Below are 25,631 nucleotides of genomic sequence, written 5' to 3'. Positions count from 1 at the left end.
CAAGAGATGATGAAGGCCTAAACCAGGCCAAAGGCATTAGCTGATTGCTAGAAACATCCAAATTTGAAAAACATTTCAAGTATTAAGTGACAAGATTGCAACCAATGGAATAAGAAAGAAGTGAAAGGCACAAACGTTTCAAAACGTTACCTGGGTCATATGTGCTCACACCCTAATAACACTTAGAAATGCAAGCCTAGAGTTTAGGAGAGAGTGAAGACTGGCAATCATCATTGGAAAGGTAGAAACTGAGTTGCCACATGGGATGGTTCCTTCAAGAAAGAAGAGTTGAAGAAATGAAAGAGGAGATTGGAAGGTAGCAATGAGAACAGGAGGAAAGATTGTACAGAGGGGAGTCATAGGGATCACGGGAGGAGGAGTGTTTGGTAGAGGAGCGAGCAACATCAACTGTAAACTTTCAAATATAGTTTAAAGAGAAAAAACTAAAAAGTGTCCTTTGGATAAAGTAGACAGTAAGACATTCAAGATTTAGACAGACTAGTTACTATGCAACCAACCTTGTGCAAGTTAACATTTTTGTGCCTAGGGTTTCTCATCTTATCTCAAAGATAACGTGTATCTTTGGGCTGTTACAAAGATTACATAAAGCAATATATTTAAGTGCTTGTAATAGTGCTGCCACATAGTATGGGCTCAACCAATATGTGTTTTTGCTGTTTCTGTTATGTTTCTACTACAATGTACGAGGTGCTAAACACACTTTCTTAATCTATTACTTACAACATCCCAAAGTGGTTGATGCTATATTTCCTATTTTACAGGCAAAGAAAGTAAAATCAGGTGGTTAAACAATTTGTTCAAGGACAAATTGGTAGACTGTTTCCAAAGACAGCCATAGCTATCCCTCCAATTCCATGTGTCCTTTTGGAGTGTGATTTTACCACTCTTCCCATCAAGAAGTCAAGTCTGTTCCCCTCTGCTTGAATTTGGGCCTGCCTTGTGACTCACTTTATTCAACAGAATGTGTAGAAGTGAAATTCTGAGCTGAGTCTAGACTTGAAAAGATCTTGCAACTTTTACAGGATATCTTGCTGGAGAGGGGTCCAGAAGAATGAGAAACAATGTGGAGAAAGAATATCATACAGAAGGGAAGTGAGATACTGCTATAGAGTGAACTGTAAATTCTTATGTTGAAGCCCTAATTCCCGATGTCACTGTATTTGGAGATAGGACTTAATTAAGAGTAAATGAGGTCATAAAGGTAGAGCCCTGATCCAATAGGATTAGTTTCCTTATAAGAATCATCAAACCAGCTGGCTGTAAGTATTTGGGTTTATTTCTGGGTTCTCTATTCTGTTCCATTGGTCTGTATACCTATTTTTATACAACTACCATGCTGTTTTGGTGACTATGGTCTTATAGTATAGTTTGAAATCAGGTAATGTGATGCCTCCAGATTTGCTCTTTTTGCTTAGTCTTGCTTTGGCTATGTGGGCTCTTTTTTGGTTCCATATGAATTTTAGAATTGTTTTTTGTAATTTTATGAAGAATGATGGTGGTATTTTGATGGGAATTGTGTTGAATTTGTAGATTGCTTTTGGCAGTATAGTCATTTTCACAATATTAATTCTATCCATCTGTGAGCATGGGACATGTTTCCATTTGTTTGTGTCATCTCTGATCTCTTTCAGCAGTGTTTTGCAGTCTTCCTTGTAGAGGTCTTTCACCTCCTTGTTTAGGTATATTCCTAAGTATTTTATTTGGAAAGGACACCCTTTTCAACAAATGGTGCTGCAATAATTGGCTAGCCACATGTAGGAGAATGAAACTGGATCCTCATCTCTCACCTTATACAAAAATCAACTCAAGATGGATTAAGGACTTAAATCTAAGAGCTGAAACTATAAAAATTCTGGAAGATAACATTGTAAAAACTCTTCTAGACATTGGCTTAGGCAAGGATTTCGTGACCAAGAACCCAAAAACAAATGCAATAAAAACAAAGATAGATACATTTCTGGGACTTAATTAAACTAAAGAGCTTTTGCACAGGAAAAAAAAAACAGCAGAGTAAACAGACAACTCACAGAGTGGGAGAAAAATCTTCACAATCTATACATCTGACAAAGGACTAATATCCAGAATCTACAACGAACTCAAACAAATCAACACGAAAAAAACAAACAATCCCATCAAAAAGTGGGATAAGGACATGGATAGACAATTCTCAAAAGAAGATATACAAATGGCCAACAAACATGAAAAAATGGTCAACATACTAATGAACAGGGAAATTGAAATCAAAAGCACAATGCGATACCACCTTACTCCTGCAAGAATGACCATAATCAAAAAATCAAAAAACAGTAGATGTTGGTGTGGATGCAGTGAACAAGGAACAATTCTACATTGCTGATGGGAATGTAAACTGGTACAACCACTATGGAAAACAGTGTGGAGATGCCTTAAAGAACTAAAAGTAGAACTACCATTTGATGCAGCTGTCCCACTACTGGGTATCTACCCAGAGCAAAAGAGGTCATTATACGAAAAAGATACTTGCACATGTATGTATATAGCAGCACAATTCACAATTGCAAAAACACAGAACCGACCCAAATGTCCATCAATCAATGAGTGGATAAAGAAACTGTGATATATATATATATATACACACATATATACGTATATATACATATGTATATATATATATCACGTATATATACACGTATATATACACGTATATATGTATATATACGTATATATACACATATATATGTATATGTGTATATATGTGTATATACATGTATACGTGTATATATATGTATATATGTGTGTATATATGTATATATGTGTATATATATGTGTGTGTATATATATATGTATATATATATGATGGAATACTACTCAGCCATAAAAAGGAATGAATTAACGGCATTCATAGTGACCTGGATGAGACTGGAGGCTATTATTCTAAGTGGAGTAACTCAGGAATGGAAAACCAAACATCTTATGTTCTCACTCACAAGCAGAGCTAAGCTGTGAGGATGCAAAGACATAAGAATGACACAATGGACTTTGGGGACTCAGGGGAAAGGGTGGGAAGGGGGCAGGAGATAAAAGACTTCAAATAGGGTGCAGCGTATAGTGCTTGGGTGATGGATGCACCAATATCTCACAAATCATCTCTAAAGAATTTAATCATGTAACCAAACACCACCTGTTCCCCAATAACCTATAGAAATAAAAAATAATTTTTAAAAAGAGTCATCAAAGAGTTTGCTTTCTCTCTGCCATGTGAGGACACAGTGAGAAGGCAGCTCTCTGCAAGCCAGGAAGAAAGCCCTCACTAGAAATGGAATTGGCTGCAACCTTGAGCTTGGACTTCCCAGACTTCTGACTGTGAGAAAATAAATTTCTATTGTTTAAGCCACCCAGTATATGCTATTTTGTTACAGTAGCCCTGGAAGACTAAAATAGATGCCTCAGTCAACAGCCAGCCCAAGACCTCACACATGTGAGTGAGGCCATGGACCTCTCGAACTTGGACCTTCCAGCCCACAAATGAGCACAGCAGACAATAAGTGAAGCAGAGGTGAACCATCCCCATTTACCAAATTTCTCACCCACAAAATCATGAGCAATAAAATGGTGGTTGTTTTAAGTCATAGAGTTTGGGAGCAACCTTTTAATGCAGCAGTAGACATCTGAAATAGGCAAAAAACTGGTAAATGATAGAAACAGGACTGGAATCCACATCTTTGTGGCTCCAAAGCCTCTGTTCTTCTGCAATTATAGTAGAGTGGTGAGGGTGGAACCAGCTGAACACAGGATTAAAAAGTACATGGAAATTGAAGAAGTAGAGTTAGCTGAAATATGTTACCTTTCCCCAACTATTTGTTCTTTCATTCATTGAACAAATATGTATTCTTCTATGATTCAGAAAGCATGACAGAGGAAGTCCCCTGTGACTCAGGAAGCCTTCCAGGTCCTGGGTAATATATAGAGAAATAAACAATGATCCTTGCTCTCTAAGGCAGTGCTTCTCAGTCTTGTACTTGTCGTGGCATAGATAGAAAGTGAACTTTTTACAGCACATGGGGGTAAGGGACTAGGCCACTGGTGGCCAGCAGGGACTGTGGCAGAAGGAATCAAAGTCTCAGCCCAGGTATTACCCATTCTGTGGCACATCAAGCTTCCCTGGTGCCCTGGTTAGGAAGTTTTGCTGTTTAGACCTACCAAGTAGAAGTAAAAGTAAATCTTTTGAGAGAAGGACAAAGAGAAGATGGTAACTGAAAAAAAAAAGTGCATAGAAGAAAAGCTGTTTGAAGATAGGAGCGACTTCAGAATGTTTTTATCAATGTTTCCCAAAGTAAGGTTCACTTGCCTTCTTTTCTGAAATTGCCTGGATTTCTTATGAAAATGCTGGTTCCTCGGATTCACTCAGACCTACACAATTATTTCGTAAAGAGCATCCCAGATGCTATGGTTGGACAAAAATACATGTTGAAATTTAATTGCCATTTTAACAGTATTAAAAGGTAGAATGTTGATGAGATGATTAGGCCATGAGGGCTCCACTTGCATGGGTAGAATTATGCTGTTATAAAAGGGTGAGTTTGGCCCCCTTTTGTCTCTTTGCCCTTCCACCATCTACGATGTGATGATACAGTAAGAAGGCCCTTGCCAGATGCCAGTGCCTTGATCTTAGACTTCCCAGACTCCAGAATTATAAGACAATAAATGTTTTTTCTTTTTAAATTACCTAATCTCAGGTATCCTGTTACAGCAGTACAAACAGAATAAGACACTGGGTAATGCTTCTGAACAATGAAATTTGAGAACCTCCAGTTTATATGCTGACGAAAAAAGCCTTTGGTGGGTGACGGAATAGAACCCTGACTCAAAAAACAAAAACAAAAACAAAAAAAAAAGAGAGAAAAGAAAAGAAAAAGGCCTTTGGAAAAAGATCTTTGAAGTCACCTACAATGTCCCTGAATGATATACATTAATGATTATAACTAATCATTATTAAGCATTTGTTATATACCATCATGCACTTGATATATGTTGTTGCATTTAATCCTGGCCACCCAGCAAGGCACACATTATGTTTCCATTTTACATTTACAGATGAGGAAACAAGAACAGAGAAGTTTAGTAACTTCTCCATGGAACTTCTCCAGCTTATTGGAGACAGCCAGCATTCAAATTCAAATTTGTCTGGCTCCAGAGCCTGTGTTTTCCATGCCACACTGCTGCTCCAAGTCACGTCCAGAACACAAATATCCGGTATCTTTATCCACTTTTTGTGTGACATTGCTCAGGTTCTCTCATCATCTTATCTGTCTTCTACGTGTGCTGCAATTGGTCAAAATCCTTTCTGAAATAGAGTTCCTGAGCTGAGCCCAGCACTCCTTCACCCTTTAGCATCAACTTCCTGCTCTCTCTGTGCCTCAGGCTTCTGAGTTGCTGCTTGGGTTACAGCATCTCAACATGCCATGGATGAAATCCCATAAATCTTTCATGCTGCTCTTAGACCACATCCTTACCCCTGTTCCTGTGAGCTAGATTCCGTACTTTGGGAAATGGTGTGGGATTCTTAACAGCAAAACTTTCTATTAATTGTCATTTTGTTTTATTCAGTTACTTGCCAGATAGTTGCCTTTAACAAAAGAAAATAAGATTTGATTAGCATGACTGGTTCTCAGTGAACCCATGCTACCTCCTAGTGATTAGCACTCCCATCAAATGCTCAAAAACTTCCTAATTATCCAAAAAAGGTATTCATTCTAACATTTGCTTTAGACCCTGAAGTATACATAATTTATCTGGACCAAGAGACTAGCACTGACTTAGAGTTCATGTTCTGTGACTATCACTGTCATCTTGGGCATCAATAGCCTTTAATCTGTGAGCTTTATTCTTTCCTGTTTCGAGTGAATTTTCTTGAGAGATGAAATAAAAGCAAATTTGGAATTGAGCAGCTCTATTTTGCCCATGTGTGTGTTATCGTTGCACCATTATTCCAGTAGCAGTTGTTCTGGTATGTTCAAAATCTGTATTCCTCTCTCCTGGACTGTGTGGATTTCTTTCCAGTTTTATGATGGACAATTATAAAGTTGTAAGTCCATTTCTTTCACTTTAAAGAAAATAGAGATTTGTTGGCTTTAGAATTTAAAAAGATACACCATATACGAAATATACTGAAAGGAACAGAGGGCCATGTTCCAGGTCGGAGGGCCTGGCACTCCTCTGCCGTCTCTTAGTAGATTCTCGTGGTTTTACATTTGTTCATCGTTTCAGAACAAGGCCAGAAGGGAGAGCAGAGGTCAGATTTCTGCTTAACTGAGACTGAGAAAAACCTGGACCTCAGTACCCTCCACCAACAGATGAATTTAAAAAAAAAAAAATGCTTTCTGCATCCCTAGAGCTGTCTTTCAAAGTGGCTGACGACTCTCATCCTGGGCAGGTCTGGGCAACTGCTGCAGTCACTCTGGATGCTCCAAAGAGAGAAGAGGATGATGAAATCCAAAATTGGTTAGAGAGTGTCACAAGTGGTTGTAGACTATCCAACTAGCCAAAAAGATGCCAGAAAAAAGAATTCCAATGAACCAACCCCTTTCCTCATTGCCCACAGCAAACCTCCCCCATCCCCAGTGATGAAAATGAATCTGGAGCAGGTCGACTGACACTCAGCTGCCTGCTTAGGAAAAAAGGAAGTAAATGTGCACTTTTATGGGTGAGAATATGGGTAGTGAGCACTTAAAGAAGAGTTTTAGTAATCCCTTTCTTGATCCTTTACTTAGTAACAAAGCTTTGACAAAAATCTCTGTGTACACAGAAAGAGAGGAAGGAAGTAAGAAGGGGAGGAGGAGGCAGAAGGGGGAGAAAGAGGGAGAGATCCACTATATTGCCTCTGGCCTTATTCAGAGACCATAGAAAAACCATACGTTTGTCTCAGCCCTACTCTGTGCAAAGAACCAGGCTTCAGGTTATCTGCCGAGTTTAGTGCTTAATCACATTAATCAAAAACCAATCAATTAATTAAAAGTTTATTTAGTGAACAATAAATGCAAAGATATTTGATACAACTTTCATGTTGGTTCTTAATTTCCATATTTAAGCTTTCCTTCTCTGCTTATATCATTCATTCATTAATTGTAACTGCAAAATTATTGCTGTCTTGTCACACAAATATTTTTTCTCTATATATATTTTATGTTCTCTACTTTTCAGAAATGTTCTTTCAGAAATGTTATCCTGTTCATATTGGTAATACTTTATATTTATTTATTTATTTATTTATTGAGACAGAATTTCACTCTCATCACCCAGGTTGGAGTGCAATGGTACAATCTCAGCTCACTGCAACCTCCGCCTCCCGGGTTCAAGCAATTCTCCCGCCTCAGCCTGCCGAGGAGCTGGGATTACAGGCACCCACCATCATGCCTAGCTAATTTTTGTATTATTAGCAGAGACAGGGTTTCACCATGTTGGTCAGGGTGCTCTTGAACTCCTGACCTCAGGTGATTCTCACGCCTTAGCCTCCAAAGTGCTGGGATTACAGGTGTAAGCCACCTCACCCAGCCTGGTTATACTTTCAATTATCTCCATTACAAATTTTCTTGACCTTTTTTTCCCACCTCTAATCTACCTACTCCTAACTTTATTCTTTCTCATTCTCTCCATAAATTCATTCTGCAAAGCTCTTATTGGGAAACAAAGTGGAATTTAGAATCCTAGAGGTCTATTTCAAAGTTAAAATTATCAGTGTTATATTAAAATTATTTTTACTGTTTTTTGAACTCATGCTATGTGCCAGACACAACAAAAATGCCCTAAATATATTAGCTCATATAATCTCTATAACAACCCTATGCAGAGGGTGGTGTTCTTAATTATCACCACTTTTCTACTGAAGAAATGTAAGCACAGAAACTAGGTATCCTGCCCAAATTCACACAGCTGATCAGCTGGAGAGATGGGCAGTATGACTCCTGAGCCCTGCTCTTAACCACCCCAGATGGGTCCAGGGAAAAGCACAGAGCTCACATCATGAAGCTGAATAGTCCCAAATAGCCAATAAGGGCAGCACTGGCCTTATGCCTTCACCAACTCTGCAGTCAGATCTATGCCTTCATTTTGTTTTCTACTTCTGAGGATGGGCAGGGTCTGACCAACGCACATTAGAGCCCCATGTGGTCTTTCCAGACTGGCCTATGCATCCATTTACAGCAGACATTTATTAAGCAGTTGCTCTGCATCACATACTGTGTGCTGTGCTTTATGTGTTTTTAATTTAATCATTTCCATAAGCATTTGAAATAGTTATTGTAATTAGCATCTGGACTTTATAGAAGGAAACATTGAAACTCTGAAGTCTAATTCACCTGCCCAAAGTCACATAGCTAGTAGCCAATGGAATAGAAATGGGAACCCATGTTTGGGAGACTCCAGAGACTGAAATGTAACCACCATACAATATGTCTCCTCATCAGTCTCCTATTAGAATTATCTGGCAGGATTTTTCAAATTTGATATACAGTCTTTCAGACTCTTACGATCCCCCTGGACAAATGCAGGAAAACCAAATCCACACATCGAAATGAATTATACACAGCTTACTAAAGAATTGATTAAAGCCCAGGTGATTTACTACAGACTATAAGCAAAACACTCTGTGCTGTTGTTATTCTTCTAATCCAGTCCCACTTGACTAATCAATCAATCCATGATCCTAATTAATCAATCGGCAATTCCACTGTGGTCTGAATCCTTCCAACTGGCTTTTTCCTGGTCCTTAGCTACTTCTCTTCTGCACTTCAGCTTCTCATATCCATGTGCATTAGAGTTACCTTCCTTCAACACAGAGACTTCAATTTCTCTATCTGCAACTCACCAAAGTTCATATTTTGCATGGAAATTTTCTAATAACTGAACATACATTTTCTTTCTATTCAATAACTGCAAAATAATTGCTGTTTATTACCACACAAATATTTTTTCTCTCCTTCCATCTGGGTAGTACCTCAGTAAGTTTCTCTGTTATCATTTTTCACTCCTTTTCATATAGATCTCTAAGATATGTGCTGTGTGTGGGGGGGGTGAGTGTGTGCGTGTGTGTGTGTGTGTGTGTGTGTGTGTGTTTTAAATAACACCTCTTCCTTCTTGTTGGGAATAGAGTAACTCTTTTTCTAGGCTTGGCCAGTAGAGGAAGTAATGGACTCTATCTGTTGCAATATAAAACAGTGTCTCAAGATGCATGTGGATATAACAAAAAATATAGTTTTTTTCTTTTAAAATGTTTTATTCCCCATAGAAGACTATTTCTTTCCAAGTAGAATTAGAATTCCTCAGGTTTGTCAGTGAACAGCAGTGAGCCAAGGTGAGGTCTTATTTTGCATTTCTTAAAGGGTCTTGTTGGTTTAGACCCCTTCTGAGGGTGTGGTGTATTGAAAGGAAGGAAAACCCATCAAGTTTAGATAATGAGTTTTTATGCAAAATCTGAACTTTAATGCACTGTAGATGGCTGCCTGACTTGGAGGGTTTAATTAGAAGAAGAGGTATATCTTAATTAGAAGAGGTATACCTTTTAAACTATAACTTTAACCTCCATTGATTAAAACAAAAGTACATCTTAATTTTTAAGATATAAAAAAGCTCATTATATATCATTTGTCCTATTTGAAGTAGTAGTTCGTTTAAAGCAATATAATGTTATTTGTGAATTTCTTTAAGGATACTACTTGAATCAAATAGTAAGAGACGGTATTCACTTCATGTTTTAAAATTTTAGGAATGCTAGAAGACGTATTCAAAGCTTGTTTGTGGAGGCTGGTTTTCAGCCATTTACTATGACATTTATGAGGAAAATGTCTTGCATATATTATTCAAGAAAAAAACAGTAGACAGGTTTTATAAAGGATTGGAGTTTTTTGTTTTTGTTTTTGTTTCAATTCTGTCCCTATTTTTCTTCAGTATCTAGCGGTGGTTAGGCTCAATTGACAGTGAAACTCACTTAATCTGCTATATGAAACTTCAAACACAGACGCAAGTTAAAATGTGGAATCTGGTCATTACCTTCAAATATAGACAGCCAGGAATGGAATGGGGTGAGATGAGGGTAGGGAGGAATTGGGACTCGGGAGGCTGGACAACAGCTCACCACTTGGACCTCTGAGATGTGCCTTGGTTTTCTTCTTTTCTCACGGACTACTCTCTTTCTTTGTCTTTCACTGGCTTCCCCTCTTCTACCTGACCTCTAACTGTCGGCATGCCACAGAGCTTTGTTCTCAGACCTGCATTCCTCCCTTGCTACCCTTGTCCGTAAGGATTTCACTCAGTTCCGTGGTTTTAAATTCCTTCTATATGCTGATGACTCTCCAGTTCATATAATCAGCCATGATCTCCCTCTTAGCTTCAAATTCATGTATTAATCTGTCTATGTGCAACTATTCAAATGTGTAACTTCACCTTCATCTCAACCTGTTTCTACCCAACATTTCTTATCTAAGTAAATTATTGATTTAATTGCTCAGGTCTAAACTAATGCATCATTCCTTCTGTCTTGTTTTTTCCCTTCTCCCTCCTAATCCAATCCACCAGCAAATCTTGTTGCTTTTAGGTGTGTCCTTCTCTCCGCCCCTACTCCATTACCCTAATACGAACCACCATCACCCTCTGCCTGGACCCTGTAATAACTGTCTAAAGCAGACTGTATTGGTTGCTTACTCAGTATCTATTAGTCTACAGAAAAGCCCTATATTTTTTAATGTAGCCACCTTCTTCCAGGTGCTTTGAGGGAGTATGACTTTTTTCCCGGATCCTGGAGGTCAAAACTAATTAGTCCAAGGCAGTTGTGGTAAAACCATTCTTCTTTCCAGTGTTAGGTTTGGGATGGAGCATCTGACATAATTAGGGCTAATGAGACATGAAGGAAAGTCTATAGAGGGCTACTGAATAAGGTGCCTCACTGTTACAAAAAGACTGCTGTAGTCAAACTGCCACCAGCCAGAAAGGATGATGAAACACCCAGGGAAAGACCCAGGCTTGAGTGCTCTAGAACAGTGGAGCCAGAATCTTGGCGGTTCACCCCTGCAGTCCCCTTCTTCTGCACTTCCTGTTAGGGGAGCTACTTCATTCCATATTATTTAAGCTACTTTGAGGCAGTGTTTTCTGTTACTTGCCTTCAAAGGTTTTTATGTCAGTCTGGGTTCCTAGTTGCCAATAAGAGAGCTCACTAGATAGTTTAAACAAAATGTATGAAAGAATATCCTGGAGTAAATCAGGCTTGGGTGTCAGGTAGCCAGAAACAATATCCATGTTCTGTCAGCAGACAGCTCCAATGCTGACTCTACCACTCCCACCACTTCTGGGTGCAGGCACAGCCATCCACAGGGACAGAGATGGGCACAAGATTCCCCACTAGCAACTTTACCTCTGCCTCCTTTGAAAGCTAAATCTCCCTCCACCACCTTCGCCAGCATTTGTTCTCTGCATTACTGGCTTCTTCATATCATTCTTTCCCAAATTGAAGTCTCAGGCAGGAGGATCATGTTGACAAAGCTCAGGACTGCAAGAGAGGCTGAGTGTGGTAGCAGGGTTCACAAAGGGGATGCACTCATCATCTATTATTATGTAACAAATTACCCCCACAATGAACAACTTAAAACAGCACACATTTATCATTTCACAATATCTAAGTGTCAGAAATCCAGAAGCAGTTTAGGTGGGTGGTTCTGGTTCAGGGTCTGCCATGAGATTCTAGTCAACTTGCTGGCCAGAGCTGCATCATCTGAAGTCTTGACTGGGGCTGCTTTCAATAATGCCTACTGCTTGGCTACTGGCTGGAAGTCTCAGTTTCTCATCATGCAGCCCTCTCCACAAGGATACTGGGGTATTCTTAAGAAATAGCTGACTATTCCAGAGTGAGTGATGAGAGAGAGAAAAAAAGAAAAAAGCAAGAGAGGAAGCTCAAGACATAAGCCACTGTCTTTTATAACCTAATCTTAGAAGTGATATGCCATCACTTCTGCTGTGTTCTATTGGTTACACACACTAACCCTGGTGCTGTGTGGGAGGGAACCACTCAAGGGAGCAAATGCTAGGACGTGGGGATCACTAGCAGTTATCTTGGAGGCTGGTTTTCAAGTGGGAAATTTCTCCAAACATAGAAAGAGTGTATTAAAGAAGCCCGATGGCCAGAAAGCATGAAAAATATGTATTGAAGCAGGGCTTTCCAATATTTTTTACATTGTGACAGACACGGAAGATGGTGCTAATTTTTCAGCATTCTCTGGTTAAAGGATGAATCCTCCTATGGCCAGAACCGCCCCACAGCTTTGGCCAAACTCATTCTCTCCTGGTTACACCAAGGGCAGAGGGGAACAATATCTTTCACACCTATAACCTGTTGATGTGCTAAAACATCCTAACTGACGCACTTCCTTCTTCCAATATTGCCTCCTACCAATTCTTTCCCCTCAGAGCAGCCATGGCGATCTTTCAATTCATGAGTTTAATCACATTGACTTACTGCTTCAACCCCAAATGCTTCCAATAACACTGGAAATTAAGCCCAAACTCCTTTGTTTGATCCATAGTGCCAGCATAGCTGAGCTCCCTCTACCTTTCTGACATCAGTTTGTGCTACTCTCCCTCTTGCTCAGTTTGTCTCAGTCACATTGTTCTCTCTCTGTCCTCAAATGCAATCAGTTTGTTACTAACTCCCTGATGTTTCACTTGCTTCTTCCTCAACTTTAGGGACACCTTTTCTGCAGGCTCCTTCCTTTCCTTTGCATATTGGCCTATACATCACCTTTTCACAGAGCCTTCCATGTTGACCCTGTCTAAATGCTCTATTTCACATCAATATCCTTCATATCCCTTATCACTATCAGAAACTATCTTGCTCATTCCATTAAATCACAAATATTTATTGAACACCTGCTATATGTCAGAAACAGTTCAGGGTTCTGAGTATCTGTTTGCTTATTGGTTTTTTTTGTTTATTTGTTTTTGTTTTTGTTTTTGCTTACTCCCATCCCCCATTCCCTCTGACAACTAGTATGTTCACTCCCTGAGGCTAGGGACCTTGTCTGCCATGTTCATCACCAAGAATCCAGCATCTAAGACAGTGCCTGACACATAGGAGGTGTCCAGTGAATAACTGTTAAATGAAAGAAGGTGGATAGTGAAGGGCAACACTCAGATCCAGATGGGATAGGGTACTCATGAGAGCATGGGTCAAGAGCTTAGCAAACATGTAAGAACCATGCTGCTCTTTTCTTTTCTCTGGGCATAAAGTAGTTGCTCAGTAATTCAGCCAAGCAAGTTTGTAGACAACAACTTGCCCAGTATTTGACAAAGAGCAGTTTTGTTTTGTTTTGTTTTTAAAAATGCTTGTCTGATGATTGAGTGACCTGGTGTAATTTCAAGAAAAACCCTTAGGAGAAATATATCAAAACCTTTCAATGATTTTGTCTGCAAACATGAAGATTCAAAAGCACCTGAGGAGCCTAACCTTTTCCTGCTGGCTGAAATGAAAATGCATTACCCTTTTATGTAAAATTATAAAGCAACTGAGTTTAAAATGGAGAAGAAGACAGAAGGGCTTAGAAACAGGTCTATAATTTTACGCCAAGTTTAAAATATCTTACCTCGAATTTGTATCCAAGATTTAGGTCTTTACTACCTGTGCTATCTGGTGTAATGAATGGCGACCTTGGCCAAGAGGAATTCCCTGGACTGTTGTCTTTGATCCTTTCCGATCACTTAAGGCTGATGAGTTGAGCACCTCCTGGCTAAATATGGCCTTATCAGTCACTGTGCGCTCCTTAAATGTATAAGGTCAGGTTCTTACCTGTGGGGCATCACATCCCTGAAGGAAGGACAGACAGGCAGATGCCTAGTTAAAGCACAGAGCCATGTAAAAGTTTTTTATAAAATTATAAAACAATGCAAAGGGATGGAGAGAGTAATTCTCTCTAGAAGAACTGGTCTATTATTTGATCATGTGGCCATAAGAAATTTACTTACTATGTCTGGATAGCAGTATTTCAATGGCAAAATAGCATGTTTGACAAGGCAGGACACTTTTTGGGCTCTAATAGTCTAACGTTGAAGTTAGATTAGCTGGTTTCATATGTATTAGTCTCATCTTCCCTACTAGACTATCATCGGGTAGGGATAATATCTCAATCATCTCTCTATCCCAGGGCCCAGAGGGCACTGCCTGTGACTGTAGTAGGCATCCATTGAGTGCACATTGATTGGTTGACTAAAATTCATCTTTCTATCTTACTCTAATATCTTAGAATCTAGTAGAATTCAGCACTCCAAATTGATAGGCTTCAAACAATGGAGTTTAAAGGTATATATAAATGCCTGCAGAGAGCTATTTCTAGCCTAATGCCTTATTTTTGTGAATCTTGATGAAGGGCTCGAAGAGGGCTCTGCACCTCAATTTTACTTTGACAGAAATCTATCTGAAAAGTTTCCTCTTCTGAACTGATCTAAGCCCCTCACCCCTCCATGATCCTCCCTGAGTCTTAACACCTTAGACCTGTGAACATTAATGTAAATGTGTATCTTGAAGGTGTGTCTACATGTGAGAATTTTGTGTGTGTATGCATGCAAGTTGTCTGAGTCTCTCTGAGTGTGTGCTTGTGTGTTTTCTCCATTGAGAGCAAGTTGTCTATGCCCTGCAGAATTCCCAGCCCAACCTCAGAAACCAAAAGCCTTCCTCCAAGTTACAGAGTTTACGCCAGAGAACAAACATGGATGGAGCTCATGTTTCTTGCTTGTCAGTCCTAGGTCTTCATTCCTTATTCCTGGAGGAAGGAATCTATTCATGAAGGTTTAGATGGAGATAACCATGGAAAAGCTACCAGTCTCAGTGTTGTTGGGTTTTGTTTTTGTTTTTGTTTTTGAGTATTAAAAGATAGCAAGCAAGTTTGACTTTTTCTACTGAATAGATGATGTTCTGTCTGTCAGAAAGACTGGTGCCTGGAAAGTTTTTTGCAGACACTTGCTTTAAGTTTATGACTTGCTTTGCTCCCACAGGAGCAAGAAAATGAACCATTTGTTTTTCAAAACACACACACACATAGAACTATAAAATAAAAATTGATGGCCGAATAAGCTGCCCCCCACCCAAGTTTAATTCATACCTGTCTGAGTGTCTGTACAATTTAAGCACTAAGGTATAAGTGGGTCCAAGTCTAGGCTTCCAGAGACTATCCCATGAATATTAATATTAGTCTGGGATTTCCAGCGAACACAAAGTAGCCCAATGTTACACCACTAACACCGTTTCTGGGTCAGGATGACTCCTGAGGCAAAAGAAACTTCTATGCACTGGAGAAGCTTCAGGTTCCTTTTCTTGCCCCCCATCACCCCCACCTTCCCCCAGCACTTGCTGTTTTATTACAGAATTAGTGGGAAGGAGACCATTTGTGGAGCTGTTGCTGTTCTAAGCACTTTACAAATAATAACTCATTGATTCCTCAAAATAATTCTATAAGGTAGGTGCTATTACTACATCCATCTTACCAGTAAGGAAACTGAAGCATGGAAGCACTTACCCAAGGTGAAACAGCCAATAATTAGGAGAGCCAGGTTTCAAACCCAGGCAGTCTGCCTAGAGACTCTATTAACTGTGAAACCACACTATCTGATGGACCAAACCTCTGTGGCAGGCAGATTCCAGAAATGGACTTGTAATGTCAATATTAAATAAAATCACAGTTTTAAATAGAACAAAACTTTGGCAATTATGTATTTTAAGATTAATTAATTTTAAGGATTATAACAAGGCAAATATAAAAATGGAAAACATTGAGAACTTGTTGTAACAGCCCATGGACTATGATTTTTTTAAATGTACTAATAAGAGCAAGGAAACTTCAACGATTTCTCTTCTTTTATCCTCTCATCTTGATATCTCTGGATACAATGCTCCACCATCTGTCCATATATGCCTCAGCTATGTTGAATCCCAGGAATGGAATTCCTTAAAAGCATACATAAAAAGACCTCTGTAGTCTGTTTTGTGTGGTTGGAGGGGAGAGTGACTCCTCTGTATCCTCTGGTAGGTGAAAGCCCTGGACCGCGTAGCATCCTTTGTTAGTGATTTTACTTGAAATCTACCTTCAGGAGCTCTTTTAGGGCAGGCCTGGTGGTGACAAAGAAGACATTTATGCAGCCAAAAAACACATGAAGAAATGCTCATCATCACTGGCCATCAGAGAAATGCAAATCAAAACCACTATGAGATATCATCTCACACCAGTTAGAATGGCAATCATTAAAAAGTCAGGAAACAACAGGTGCTGGAGAGGATGTGGAGAAATAGGAACACTTTTACACTGTTGGTGGGACTGTAAACTAGTTCAACCATTGTGGAAGTCAGTGTGGCGATTCCTCAGGGATCTAGAACTAGAAATACCATTTGACCCAGCCATCCCATTACTGGGTATATACCCAAAGGACTATAAATCATGCTGCTATAAAGACACATGCACACGTATGTTTATTGCGGCACTATTCACAATAGCAAAGACTTGGAACCAACCCAAATGTCCAACAATGATAGACTGGATTAAGAAAATGTGGCACATATACACCATGGAATACTATGCAGCCATAAAAAATGATGAGTTCATGTCCTTTGTAGGGACATGGATGAAATTGGAAACCATCACTCTCAGTAAACTATCGCAAGAACAAAAAACCAAACACCGCATATTCTCACGCATAGGTGGGAATTGAACAATGAGATCACATGGACACAGGAAGGGGAATATCACACTCTGGGGACTGTGGTGGGGTCGGGGGAGGGATAGCATTGGGAGATATACCTAATGTTAGATGACACGTTAGTGGGTGCAGCGCACCAGCATGGCACATGTATACATATGTAACTAACCTGCACAATGTGCACATGTACCCTAAAACTTAGAGTATAATAAAAAAAAAAAAATTTTTACAACTGCACAAATTTTGATAAAAATGAGTTAAAAAAAAAAAAAAAAAAAAAAGAAATCTACCAGACTTTTTAACCAATATTCCTATGTAACTTTTTGCGTTTTCATGTTAGGTCATTGGGAAGTGAGGGAAGGCAAGTCAGAGTTTTCTAGTGAGGCTCTGCTGAGCTTCTGTGTTGTCTCTTCTAAGACATATTGCATATGTACCTTAAGAAATAAGTGAAATCATGAAAATGAATGTTTTGCTATAGTATCCTGTGGCATGTTGCTTTATACTGTGATGCATCCTTGAACATATATCATTGTATTTCTTACACTCTGACTCTATTAAATGTTTTATTCCATTTAGAATCCCAAACATAGTCTTTGCCCAAAGTTGTCAATTATCTGCAACATATACTTGATTATTTTTCCCATTGAATCAATTATCTACTGTTGCATAAGAAATTATCCCAAAACTTATCAACTTAAAATAACAAATATTTATTTTCTCACAGTGTCTGTAGATCAGGAATCCAAGTGTGGCTTAGCTGGGTACTTTTGGTTCAAAGTTTCTTAGGAAGTTGTAGATGAGCTATAAGCCAGGGCTGTGGTCTCATCTGAAGGCTTGTCTAGGGGAGAATTTCCCTTCCAAGCTCATTTATGTGATTGCTTGGATGTTTCCATTCCTCACAGGCTGTTGAATTGGGCCATTGGCTGGAGAGCTTCTCTAGCAGGCTATTGGATGGAGACCTTCTCTAGCAGGCCATTGGAGACCTTTTCCAGTTCCAAGTCAAGTGGGCCTCTACACTGGGAAGCTCGCAACATGGCACCTGGCTTTCCTATGTCCGAGCAAGTAAGAGAATGCCCCAGATGTCAAGAGAGATGGCATCCATAGTATTTTTGTAATCTAATCTTGGAAGTGACATCCCATCACCTCTGCTGTATTCTATTTGCTAAAATTGAATCATTAAATCTAGCCCATAACCAAGGGGAAGTGTTTACACGAAGGCATGGATATCTGGAAGTGGGGCTCTTTGGGTGCCATCTTAGAGGCTGCCCACCACATCCAGTTAGAACAGTCATCCCAACTGTGGGGATTATTGATATTCAAGCATTTATAATCTAGTACTCCCCAAACTCCCCCTCTTTCAAGTCTTATCCTTTGCATAATATGCAAATAAGATGGTTCAAGCAGCCACACCGCACACTGTGTGGAGCACACCTACCTCTACCACTGGTGTAGTACTTTAGATTTCCAGGGAGGGCTTACGTTCCTATGAGTTTCTCCTGAATCCTGCTTCACCCCTGTAACCTGCTCCTGATAGGTTTTCTTTGCTTCTGGTTCTATGTTACCTCTTGCTGTGGACTCTTTTCCTCTTCCTTTGTGGGACTTTCACAAATAACACTAGGTCATTTTAGTTAACAGATTTCCCCCGAAGGCTTGGAGATGATAGGAAGTAATTATAGTCAATAAAGGAAACACCCTCAAATTTAATAGAAGATATCACTATTCCTTGAAATGTACTTGTCCTTCCCCACAATTAGAAATTTCTCACTGCCTGGGACCATCCGTCTGTTTTCTGAGCATGGCTTCAGTGTAAACCTTTTCCACTTTCTACTCAAAGACCAGATATGCCTACATACTTAGGGACAATGAGAAAAGGCAACCTTGGCAAAGACACACAGTCCCTGCCATGCCTTTTCTTCAGAGTGATGGGTGCCTACTCACCTAATATTTACATAATCAAGTAGGACCATTCAAGTGTTGGTTAAGAGAATGTGCTTCAATGTGAATTTCTTTGTCCATCTAGACAAAGGCACATTTGGAAGCTTCTCTTTCTAAACATTTTTAAGGCTCTCTTTTTTCAGGCACTCAGTTATAAGAGTATGATCTTATTTAGAAAGAAGAAACTCCACTATTTATAGAAATATAAGGAAACAAACTTAGAAGCGAGACACAACCAACTGTTAGAGTAATTCCATCTGAGAAGTGAGTTTATTTAGAAGAAGCCCTATAGGCGGGGTCATAGAAGAACTATGTAGTGAGACAGATTTCTGCTTTATATAGTACACATATCTGTATATTTTAAACAATAAAATGTATTATTTTTTGTCATTGTCGTCAAAATTTAAGAATAAAGCATCCTGGCATTAAAGAAAAAGAAAGATCATGAACAAAGAAACAAAGGCCAGCTTCAAAATACTCTTCAGCAATGCCAAGTACTAGAAAATAATGGAACAATATATCACAGTTTTGATGGGAAAAGCTTATGGGAAGAATTTTGTCTTCAGCTGTTTTTCCACACCTGATGGCAACGGAAATAAATTCTCAGATATTCAATGGTTCAGCCGGTATACCACCCTCATATTCAGATGGAAGAAAATTTTTGTATATGCACTCCTATGTCTTATTTCAGCTAACCAGATAAAGACACAAAGAATAAAAAATATATAATTCAGAGTATAAAATTATTAAAGAACATAAATATCAATATAAGAGAGAATTCATTAACCAATCAAAAAGTATTTATTGAATACGAATAATGTATCAGGCATACTTCTAGGATCTTAGTAAATAAATCAGCAAATAAAACAAAGACCTGTGCTCTTAAAGAGCTTTCATCTTAGTTACATAGTGTGCTTGATTGGCCCATTAAAAAGAAAAAAGAAGGATAACCAATAAAGGGCAACCAGAGTGTAAGGAACTTGATGTCCAAGTTATAATTCCCAGAATGACATTTTAGAGATAGATATAAAAGTCTTTACTAAACCAATGAAAATCATACAGTAGTATATTACAAGATAATGTTTAGACTATATTGTGCAGATTTTATTCTTGGAATATAATATTCACTTATTAGTAGCACATTTATTAATATTGTCCATCAGTAATAGGTCAAAGAAAAAAACAACATAATCATCCGGCAGATGCTCTAAAATCATCTCATAAAATTTAATATCCATTCCTGGGAAAAGTCTGAAAAAATAAGCAAGAAAGGAAATTTCCTTAACATTAGGATGAATATCAAAATGTAGAGGCAACATTCTGAAAATTGAAATATCAGAAAAACTTCACTTAAAATTCAGAGACAAAAAAATTATCCTTAATGTCTTCATTATTCAACATTACCTTGTAAATGTGCAATGCAATAAAAGAGCTAAAGCTATTAAAGTAAGCAGAAAAATATTTTACAAATCATTAATTTACTGATCTAGAAGTCCCAAGATATTTTTTTAAAAAATTATTAGAGCTAATAAAAGAAGATAGGAAAATGTTCAGATGCAAGAACAAATATAAAATATTAATAGTTGTTGGTGAAATCAATAATTCAGTCAAAATTATGATGGTGAAATTATTTTATTAATGCCATCATAAATAATTAGGCAAATTTATAAATAACTCTGTGAAAAACAACTTAGAGAACTGTGTGTCATCTATATGAAAATAATTAGAAAACATATGGGGAGATATAATAGCATCATAAATGTAGAGATATACCATGTTTATGAATGGGAATGCTAAATATTATAAAAGAAATTATTTAATTCCTCTGAAATAATTTAAAGGTTTAATGTGACTCAAAGATTTTATTAAGATTATTCTTACTTGACAAAGTGAAAACATAGCTCATTTTAAAAAATATATAGTTTTGAATAGTGAAAAAGTTTCAAAAAGATAATATAAAGTAAGTTGGAAAGGGCAGTAAAGAGAGATTTGTCTTACAAGATAGCAAAACATACAATAAACTTTCAGCTATCAAGATGGTATGTATCTTGGGCAAGAATTGATCAATATAAACATTTAGAAACTGACTTTCATACATGCAAGAATTTAATATACAGTTAAATTTCCATCATAAATCAGTATGTAAAAAGAAGAGTATTCAATAAATAATGCTGGAACAATTGATTATGTACTTGGGGAAAAACAAAGAGAAATCAAAATGACTCAGTGCTATGCTTAAAATTAAGACAAAATCAAACTAAATCAAAGTACACTATTCTAGTAATGAAACTAGAATAAACTATAAATGGGCATTTTTTAGGCTCCAGGAAGGAGAAATTGTTTCTAAGGATGAATATATGGAAGAAATCACAAAGCAAAAATAATAAACAAAACAAAACCAGTAGCTTTAACTTCTTAAAAATCTAAAACCTGTTTCTCAAGAGTTATTATGAAAATAAATTCTAAATATTTGACAAACTGGGGAATTATTTGTAGACAAAGGGCTAATCTTCTTTAAATATTTTTAAAAATTGCTTTCAAATTATAAAGAGACACAGTACTATCTCAGTAGAAAATAGTGAATAAAGGACATGGATGGATAATTCACCAAAGAGGAAGCATAAGAAGCTTTTCCAAAAAATACAGAAAAAAAAGTTTGACCTTTTTAGTCATGAAACATGTGGGTTAGAATAACAATTAAAATGTTTCCTGAATTTAAATATAAAAAAAAGAAAAGCTATAATACTCAGTGAGGATTATACTAGTACTAGATACAATCTTGTCTGGAAAATAATTTTGGAAATATATGCCAAAGGAAGTAGTTATATATTAATATCCTTTGACTTAAATAATTCTTATGTTCTTAAAATAGCAGCTATTGTGGCTTGCGCCTGTAGTCCCAGCTACTCAGGAGGCTGAGGCAGGAGGATCACTTGATGCCAGGCATTCAAGTCTGCAGTGAGCTACAGACGTGCCACTGCACTCCAGCCTGGGCGACAGAGCAAGACTTTGTCTCTAGAATTAAAAAATCAAATAAAATAGCAGCTATTTGAAAAGTTTCATTGTCTAACAATAGGGAAGAATAGTTAAATGTTGATAGATTAATAATAATAAAGTTAAATGTTGATAGATTAAATGCAGATAAATAATATTGTATTTTTACCACAATTATAAATCATATTCTCAAATAAATTATTTAATAACCTCAAAAATATTCAAAATGTAAATGAAAAATTATTTATGTTACATAATCATATTTCTGTGTATCTATGCACACACACCTACAAATACCAATGCATGTGTATACAGAAAAATAACTAGAGGAAAATACTTAAAACCTAATTTTATCTTAATGAATGAATTATGGATGGCTTTTCATTTATTCTCTTTTTTGCAATTTTGAAAATACTATTGAAATAATTTGAAAATAATAAATTGAAAATAATATTGTATTTTTATAATAATTACAGAATTGTTGAAGAAAGCTAAGGGGATACTAGTAGAATACAGGAGATATTTGTTTATGTAGTCATCCAACAAATATAACAAGCATCTACCAGTACCAGGCGTTGTGTTAGGTCCCCAGTATATAAAGGGTCAGCAAAACAATCAGGTGCCTTTCCCTTGTGACTTTACAGTCCTTGTACCTCTCAAGATTTGTATTTCTGGTTTTCAACCTCTTCTTTTCTAATATTATCTCAATCAGAATAAATAGCTTGCATTTTTGTCATACTCAGCAAAAAAATTTAGCTTGCTTCCCCACAAAGAAAACCTAGCAACCAATTCTCTTAACTTCCCATCTTTTTGCTATAATAGGCAGCCCTCCCCTGGAGCTAACTTTTTTCATGAAAGATGATTGTGTCATCAGTAGCAGCCACATTACTAAATGACACCTTCCTTTCTCTCTGATGTGTTAGCAGCCCAGGAGCTCAAGTTAGCAGAAATCTGTGCTGAGGCCTGGAAAAGAATGAATTGTTTCTTTTTTTCTTTTTCTTTTTTTTTTTTTTAGACGGAGTCTCGCTGTCGCCCAGGCTGGAGTGCAGTGGCGCGATCTCGGCTTACTGCAGGCTCCGGAATTGTTTCTTTTAAATAAGCTCTAAGATGGATTCTAGGAAGAGCTATAGTAAGCTACTTCCCCCCACTCCAAGATTTTGTTGTTATTTCTACAATATAGTGTGTGTCTGCGTGTGATGCATTAGTGCACAGGTGCTATATACATATTATATATGTGTACTAGATTTCCCAAATGAAACTTTACAATTTATGAAAGATATGTTTACCAAATGATTCCAAAATTAACCTTCCCCATTGCCCTTTTAATTACTGATTCTCTGGGCAAGAATTTTAAAACATTATTTTTCCTGCAGTCGAAACAGCTTCTGTCAGCCAGTCATTCAACATGTAGTGAGAATCCCTTCTAATGATCCTAGCCACTGGGAATATTGAGATGAATGAGGCATAGTCTTTACCCTCAATGCCCTTAGAGGGTTGAGCAGAGATGCAGAGAATATTACAATACTGTGAGCTAAGGACCATGTTTCAGAAGCTTTAGGAGGCAAAGGAGAGTTTACTTAATAAATTCTTTTAAAATATGTTTTTTGTGCTAAATTTGCAAAGATGTGTAGAAGTTTGAATGGCACGCAAAATGAGAACGGACAAGAAGGAGCATGTGAAAAGTTAAGGAACCCTGCAAGAACACCATAAAGTGTATACCAGGGTAATTTGTTGACCTAATGATGGTTGTCTTGTTTCTGCTTCTGTGAAAGAGTTGGGAAGAATGTGAGTTCTTTATGTTTTTCTCATTGTATTTCCCTCTACTCTCCCTACATTCTAAGAAGTTACCGGCCGGACACGGTGACTCACGCCTGCCATCCCAGCACTTTGGGAGGCCGAAGTGGGCGGATCACGAGGTCAGGAGATCGAGACCATCCTGGCTAACACGGTGAAACCCCATCTCTACTAAAAAATAGAAAAAATTAGCCGGGCGTGGTGGCGGGCGCCTGTAGTCCCAGCTACTCAGGAGGCTGAGGCAGGAGAATGGCGTGAACCCGGGAGGCGGAGCTTGCAGTGAGCCGAGATCGCGCCACTGAACTCCAGCCTGGGCGACAGAGCGAGACTCCGTCTCAAACAAAGAAGTTACCACGCACTTATCTAAATCCTTTTTATAGGAAAAGGTTAGAAACATGCTATTTACTAATAAACCAGAATAATTTCTAGTGTTCTATAGCACTTCAGGATGACCATAATAAACAATAATTTATTGTATATTTTCAAATACCTAGAAGAGAGAATTTTGAATATTTCCAACACAAAGAAATGATAAATGTTTGAGGTAATGGATATGCTAATTATACCGATTTGATCATTACACATTGTATATATGTATCAAAATATCATACTCTCTCCTATAAATATGTACAATTATTATGTCAATTAAAAATAATTTTTTAAAATAAAAATAAACATAGGCAGATTGAGTCAAAGTCTAAATGCTACAACCACAACCTTGCCAAAGGATTCACACACAGAGTATGTAAAGAACTCCCATAAGTCACTAAGAATAAACATTTAAAAAATAGCTACAGGTTATAAGGTTCATAGAAAAAGAAATTCAAAGGAGCAACAAACTGCAAAAAGATGTTCAATCTCATTTGGATTTTGTGAAACGCAAACTAAAGCAACAACACAATGCCATTTTTCCTCTCATCAAGTAGACAAATATTGAGACTTCTAATGATATCAATTATTTGCAAGGATTTGGGGAAAACAGAATTCTCACACATTACTGGTAGGAGCATAAATTATCATAACAATTTCAGAGATAAATTGATAGTTGTTAGCAAAATTATGACTATGCAAACTTTATGAGCTAACAGTCCACTTCTAGATGTGCAAACTAAAAAAATTCTCACGTGTATGTACCACAAAACATGGTTAATGAAAGTAATTAACCTATTGTTTAATATAAATAATATAATTATTAAAATATAATAAACAATAATTAAATATATTGTTTAATATAAATAAGATAATATAAAGCTGACAGCAACAGAAATGTCTACTACAAAGAGAATAGGTAAATAAAACTTGATGTTTATAGTTGTGTAATGAAATACTTTACAGTGAATAAAACGTGGGTTACCTCCCCTTCTCCCTCACCCATTCAAGTGTCAGATGGGAAGGAGAGATTACTCAAATTTTGGACAGGTCTGTGGATTCTTAGAACAAAGAGAAAGAGCAAGAATAGCCAGGAAGAGAAATGATTTTTGAGGTGCATCCAGGAGATGGATATTGAGAGGGTGGGCCCCGGGGGATCTAGAGGGGTGGGGTTTTCTTGTGTGTTCCCAGTGTTGGCCGTCACACTGGATGCCCTAGACATGCATGGAAAAATGATGACCAGAGACCAGACTCAAACCCTATACTCCTGTGCCCCATCTCTTGTTGCTGGGAACATCCTCCAGAAATTAGGTGCAACACTGGGAAGGGTGGGGGAATTCTCCAAAATGACAGAGATAAATTTCTGCTACACTGAAGGAATGAAGGCTCAGAAATTAGATTGAGTTATCAAAAAATGAACATATTTCTTGTACAGTTAAGTCAGCCAACTGACATTCATATCACTACAGTTGCATCTGTAGTAGGTAGTCATACTTTAGGTAGAATAGTCTGAGAAGGGAAGAGTATGTGAAGCTTACAAATAGAAATCTAGAGGAAAAAAGAAAATCATTAGGGACAAAATGTCCATTTCAACTTGTCCCCTGTTTTTAATGCCATCATATGCACTGAAGTCATCCTGTTTGTTTGTAAAGCCCCAAGTTTGTCTTTGAAAATTCCTGCACCTATTTCTTGTGAGTTAATGTGACCTGCTTGTACCCTTCAGACTCTGATCATATTAGAACTTTTGTCTTGGGGAAAAGAAAACACAAAAACAAAGGAAAGTCCATGGGTTACTGGCTTCCTGGGGCTTCCCCGGG

The 25,631-nt window shown here is 37.7% G+C and overlaps 1 protein-coding gene and 1 non-coding gene across 3 annotated transcripts in view; both read right to left on the bottom strand.

Moving 5' to 3' along the window:
* Window positions 1-11,540, bottom strand: part of SYT9 (synaptotagmin 9) — a 230,266-nt gene extending 218,726 nt beyond the window's left edge. Inside the window, exon 1 of one of the 2 annotated variants that reach the window (XM_011519902.3) lies at window positions 11,402-11,540. In XM_011519902.3, the coding sequence (XP_011518204.1) occupies window positions 11,402-11,450 (49 nt within the window). In that variant the 5' untranslated portion in view covers window positions 11,451-11,540. The remainder of the gene's footprint in view (window positions 1-11,401) is intronic. The other variant, XM_047426379.1, reaches the window with a different exon arrangement.
* A 3,940-nt stretch (window positions 11,541-15,480) lies between these two features.
* MIR302E (microRNA 302e) lies at window positions 15,481-15,552 on the bottom strand. Its single transcript, NR_031683.1, has one exon. It is a non-coding gene; the product is annotated as a microRNA 302e (primary transcript).
* Between the last annotated feature and the right edge of the window lie 10,079 nt (window positions 15,553-25,631).

This window comes from Homo sapiens, chromosome 11 (genome assembly GCF_000001405.40).
Source record: "Homo sapiens chromosome 11, GRCh38.p14 Primary Assembly".
In the NCBI taxonomy this organism is placed as follows: Eukaryota; Metazoa; Chordata; class Mammalia; order Primates; family Hominidae; genus Homo; species Homo sapiens.
Note: the sequence above shows the minus strand (reverse complement) of the source record. Positions and strands in the feature narration are given on the sequence as shown.